At 37.4% G+C, this 6,428-nt stretch overlaps 1 long non-coding RNA gene across 1 annotated transcript; it reads left to right on the forward strand.

The window, feature by feature from the left end:
• Positions 1-4,441: 4,441 nt before the first annotated feature.
• On the forward strand, positions 4,442-6,428 carry LOC107984733 (uncharacterized). The gene is made up of 2 exons (XR_001751737.2): positions 4,442-4,736; positions 6,172-6,428. It is a non-coding gene; the product is annotated as an uncharacterized LOC107984733 (long non-coding RNA).

Here is a 6,428-nt window from a genome sequence, read left to right on the forward strand (position 1 = left end):
ACACATTCACCCGTATGTTTATTGTGGCATTATTCACAATAGCAAAGACTTGGAACCAACCCAAATGTCCAACAATGATAGACTGGATTAAGAAAATGTGGCACATATACACCATGGAATACTCTGCAGCCATAAAAAATGATGAGTTCATGTCCTTTGTAGGGACATGGATGAAACTGGAAATCATCATTCTCAGTAAACTATCGCAAGAACAAAAAACCAAACACCGAATATTCTCACTCATAGGTGGGAACTGAACAATGAGATCACATGGACATAGGAAGGGGGATATCACACTCTGGGGACTGTTGTGCGGTGGTGGGAGGGGGGAGGGATAGCATCGGGAGATATACCTAATGCTAAATGACGATTTAATGGGTGCAGCACACCAGCATGGCACATGTATACATATGTAACTAACCTGCACAATGTACACATGTACCCTAAAACTTAAAAGTATAATAAAAAAAATATATCTTCCATACAGGTTTTTATATTTACTTTATTTTTATAAATTGATTTTTTAAAATAATTATGTTTCCCAGAGGTGTCCATGAAAAAAATTCTTACAAATCTCTATCTATTCACTCTATTTTTTTTTTTCAGTTTGCACACAATTCACTCCTTTTTCCTGCTTGGGTTGCCTTCTTTAAATATCTCTGACTTCTTTTAAAAAGGACAGTTTTAAGTTCACAGCAGAATTGAGAGGAAAGTCCAGTGATATCCTCTATGTCCCGTTCCCCCACAAATGCATGCCTTTCCCATTATTAACATCCCTCCCCAGAGGGTATATTCATATAGTTGATGAACACTGACACATCGTAATCCTCTAAAATCCATAGTTTATCTTAGGTTTCACTCTTGACATTGTACATTCTATAGGTGTAGACAAACGTATCCATCATTATAGTATTATACAGAATATTTTAACTGCCCTAAGAACCCTCTTTATTCTACCTATTCACCCTTTCCCCTTCCTTGTTGTTTTTGTGTCAAATTATTTCTAACATTGTGTTGCTATGTTTTGTGTGTGTGAAAATGTATTACTGTTATCTTTCCATTATAGATTTTATCAACAGAATTGCCCACTCAGCCATTTAATGTTTTCCCCCCTTGAGTTCCTTTTTGATATTATTGTGACCTCTGTTTACACATCTTTCTTTCTTTCTTTTTTGCTAATAGGAATTTTAACTCACACATAAATGTCACAGTCAATATATTTAACCTTAATTCTATATTTTTGTTAACATTTTATTTTTTTGTTTCCCAGCTACTTTGGATTTCTGTATTTTGCCTTGTAGGCTTTGTTTTATTTGCTTTGTTTTTATTCTATCCTTGTCAACTAGAAATTTTATTTTTTGTTTTACTGTAAGTTGTCCTTAAATTTGTCAAATATTTAAACATATATCTTATTTTTTAAGGTAATTGCTTAGAAATGTGCATTTAATTAAAATGAAGTTATTTAATCTGAAACAAAAATTCTGCTGTACATAGTTCAGATAGGGCAAAGTACAATGTATGGATGACACATTTCAGTAAAAAAAAAAACTGGAAAATGTAACAAATTATTATGAAAATAGGTATTTGGTCTGTAAATAAAATATTTGTTATCACTGTCACTTTATTAGTATTCTTAGAAGGAACAAATAATCAAAATTATAATTTTCTTGCAATAATTTCCCAACAAAACGTTATATATTCTCTTTAGGATCATGCTGCAAAGGCACCAGCTTTATTTCAACTCACACATTCAAAATATATTTTATGATTTCTTATTACATGTTAGGCAGCCATGAAAAAAATCAGACATTGTTCCTGTCATCATGGAACATACAGCCAAGTTGGAGAAACAGATAATAAACAAGTAGATAAGGAATGCACACATGCATGCACCCACATCCCTCCTGACTTTTGATCACTTTTCGGATGTATTTTAATGAGGCAGGAGGAGATATAGCCACAGCAAGTAAGCCCATATATTAACATGGAAGTTCTGATATAAATTTTGTCTTCAGTGATGCTTAATTTACAATGCTTAACTTCCAACCAGTTAAGATTCTTAATATATTCACTTCAAATTTCCCTGACCTAGAATTTCTGCTAATACTTTAATACTTTGTATTTTACAAAGAATGAGACAACTTAAAGGGACCTTAGAGCTTATTTAGCCCCAGGGTGGTAAATACAAGCATCAGTGTCATATTCCCACCTCCTGTGCGCACTGCAGACATTGTCAATCAATCTCAATAGCTATTTATTTTAAAGCTGGAAATAGCTCCAGAAATCATTCTCATTCTCATGGCAGCATTTTGGTTTGCAGTAATCACCTGAAGTTTTTTAATATGAGAGGTCTGTTGGAAAAAAATTGTGTCTCAGAATGAGGAAAATTATTGCCAACTAAAACTTTAAAACCTACAATTCTTAGTAGATCCATATTTTAAAAAATTCCTCTGAATAATAATAAGTTGGGATTTTGAAATAGGAGTTAAATTTAAAGGGAAGAAAATAAAAATTTATTCTGTCATACTGCTCATTCCTAGCCCAATTCCTTGCCCAACTCTGACAAGTTTTAGGACTATTCGGAGATCTCAAACTAGACCTGTGGCATTAAGCATACGTTTCCTACGTATATTAGCTCAGAATAATATTTTCTTTCGGTGCAGACTCTTCCTCTATTTTTTTTAATACAACTCACTATTCACTTCTCATTAGACATGACGCTCTCTTGTAACTACATAACAATGCAAAAGCTGAACATCAATGTAGTCATTGAAGAATTATTTAAGATGTTGCACAATTGACAGCTGTATTAATTTATTCAACAAATATGTATTGAGTGTCTTCTAAGTACTAGGCAATGTAATAGGCTTTTGAGATACATCAGTTAACAAAACAGAAAAAAAGATTTCAGGCCCTTATAAGTTTCTAGTTGAAGAGGGCAGAGATGGAGATAACAATTAAGGTGACAGTAATTTATGTTGCATATTAGAAGGTGATTTTGTTATACAAATGGAAAAGCAGATGCGAAATATAGGGAACCCTGAGAATGATGATGGGGTGCAATTTTAAATAGTGCCTTATAGAGAAGGTGACATTAGAGCAAATATTTGAGAGAGGTAAGAGAGTTAGCCATGCATATAGCTGGGGAAGGATGTTCCAGGAACTGGGATCAGCAAGGAAAAAACTCTTTTTTTAGACGGAGTCTTGCTCTGTCACCAGGCTGGAGTGCAGTGGCGCAATCTTGGCTCACTGCAACCTCCGCCTCCTGGGTTCAAACGATTCCCCTGCCTCAGCCTCCCAAGTAGCTGGGACTACAGGTGTGCGCCACCATGCCCAGCTAATTTTTTTGTATTTTAGTAGAGATGGGGTTTCACCATGTTGGCCAGGATGGTCTCAATCTCCTGACCTTGTGATCCACTGGCCTCAGCCTCCCAAATTGCTGGGATTACAGGCGTGAGCCACCACGCCCGGCCAGAAAAAAACTCTTAAATTACGAGTGGGCCTCATGTATTTGAGGGACAGCAAGGATGCCACTGTGGCTTGGGCAGGGAGCACAAGAAAGAATACCAACAGGACACGACAGAGAAGGGGAAGGGCTATAATTTAGTGCATGTCGCTTTGCACAGGCAACCAAAATTTTATACAACAGTTAAATAAATATTAAATGTTAATGTAATTCATATATGTGATTTTTTTTTTTTTTTTTTTTTTTTTTTTGAGACGGAGTCTCGCTCTGTCGCCCAGGCTGGAGTGCAGTGGCGGGATCTCGGCTCACTGTAAGCTCCGCCTCCCGGGTTCACGCCATTCTCCTGCCTCAGCCTCCCAAGTAGCTGGGACTACAGGCGCCCGCCACTACGCCCGGCTAATTTTTTGTATTTTTAGTAGAGACGGGGTTTCACCGTTTTAGCCGGCATGGTCTCGATCTCCTGACCTCGTGATCCGCCCGCCTCGGCCTCCCAAAGTGCTGGGATTACAGGTGTGAGCCACCGCGCCCGGCCCATATATGTGATTTAATTAAGTATATTTAGTTAGGTTTTAGGCCAAAGACAGCAGGAATCTAATTACCTACAGGAATCCCCTCTCACTTTTGAACCCTTTAAAAATGTTCCCCAGGGCTCATTTAATAAAACAATAGATCCCTATTTATAAAATTTTGATTTCCCTAGTCTTTACAAACCATCTGAGCCCTGCCCACCACTTTTCTAAATGCAACCTACAGAACACATTTTCACATTCAGAGTTTGTGTTTTTCCACATCAAACATAATTACCTGTGAACTATTTTGTGATATTTCTGCAAAATAAATTACATTACAATGCATTTTGGACTCCATTAACTACATAAAACAATTGATTTGAGTCTATTGCATCCTTAGCATGGTGATATAAACTGAAATAGATGTTATTATAAATGCTAAAGGTGCCTCATGTGTACCCTTCAGGCTTCTCTAGTGGTGCTGAAATGAGGTGATGATTCCACAAAAACTCAACTAGCAACCAGAGTATCTTTATACATCTCCTGCATTCATTGCAAGAAGAATGGATTTCAACTCTCAGGGAGGCAGAGTCATACCTGAAGATTTAACTGACATGAGGTGGACACAGCCTCCTTCCCACCACCCTCCAGTGACAGTCCTGTTCCAGCCTAGCTTCAGTGGACAAAGCATCCAGTCACAACATGTGCAACCACTGTATGCCACAAGGATGCTTCCTTGTGCTGTGGAGGATACAACAAAGGTAAGGCAGTTCTTACAGACTGAACATGTAGAGTGTTTTAAAAATTTCAAATCACACTCATGGTTACATGTAAGAAAGCTGCAGAAAACGTTGCTTTGATTTTTTTCTAATTGGAAATAATTGAAGAGGCAAAGCTTAAATATGTAAAATAGAGAATAATCAGGTTCCAAACTATGCAGCCCCAGCCATAATCTCATTCTCCCACTGTGAAGGCTTACTAACTCGTTTCAAATACTGATTCTAACTAGCTAGTTAGAACTAGTTTCAAATACTAATTCAAATACTGATTCAACATACCACTTACTAAATCCATGACTCTGGATAAATTGCTAAAACTTCTTGTGCCTCAATTTCCCTATCTGTAACATTAGGATATTAAAAACACCTTTTCATTTGTATGAGGATTAAATTAGATAATCCTAGTAAAGCATGCACCCCAGTGTCTACATCAATAAATATTACAACGAATATTATTATTCTATATCAGCCATTTTCTATTTCTGTGAGTAACAGGAAGTGGGCAGGTTTACCTCAGAGAAACTCTATTTGTTTTATCTGTAATAAAACTGATGAATATTTTTCCTCTTTTTAGACCACTATCTGCTTTTAACTCAACTATGGGAATATGCTAGCTAGTAACAAAAATGAAACCTGAAATAGAAAAGTGTATATGACAAAAATGTGAAAAAAATGAGATTCCATCTTTAAATGACATTCTTTATTTGAAAGAATACTCCCCAGCTAAATAAAATTGCTTCTTTATGCATTGACTGCTGGGGAACATGAGGAGGAGATGGAGCAAAAATGCAGTTCAGATAGTGCCTTAATCTGCTCAGGCTGCTATAATAGAATACCATAGACCAGGTGGCTTAAACAACAGATATTTATTTCTCATGGTTCTGGAGGCTGGGAAGTCCAAGATCAAGGTACTGGCAGATTAGGCTTTGGGAGAGGGCACTCTTCCTGGCTTGCAGACAGCCACCATATTGCTGTGTGCTCACATGGCCTTTTCTCAGTGGATGCAAATGGAAAGAGAGAGAGAAAAAAGAACTCTCTTGTCTTTTCCTCTTATAATAGCACTAAACCCATCATGAGGGCACTACCCTCTGATAACCTCATCTAAACCTAATTATCTTCCAATGGCTCCACCTCTAAATACCGTCACTCTGGGAGTTAGAGCTTCAACATTGTGACTTTGGGGTGGCAGGGAGAAACAAACATTCAGCCATCACAAATCATGTGCTGTATTTTTGACTTAGCAAGTCAGCGATTAAGACAATGATGTGCCCAAGTGAGCCACACTTATTGATAGTCACAGTCTTGTGAATTTATATCCTATATTAACACTGGGCTTAGCCATGCTACTTTCTTTCGCTAAATGAAAGTTAGCCAGAATAATGCATTGAGATACTTAATAAGTGTTTGCACGTTACAGCTTGTTTCTTTTGGAAGCGAGCCACTATGTTGCACAGAAGCTCAGGCTGGACAACAGGATAATGAGAGGCCAGATAGAGGGAGGTCTACACAATGAGACCATCTTGGACATCTTGGACATTCCAGCCACAATAGATCTCCCAGCTGGATGTAGTTACCAGAGTGATCTCAGCTACACTATGGGGAACAAAAGACCTACTGAGCTGCTCCTAGCAAACCCATGGAATTGTGACAAAAAATAAATCATTGTTGTTTGCA

The sequence above is a fragment of the Homo sapiens genome, chromosome 15 (assembly GCF_000001405.40).
Source record: "Homo sapiens chromosome 15, GRCh38.p14 Primary Assembly".
In the NCBI taxonomy this organism is placed as follows: Eukaryota; Metazoa; Chordata; class Mammalia; order Primates; family Hominidae; genus Homo; species Homo sapiens.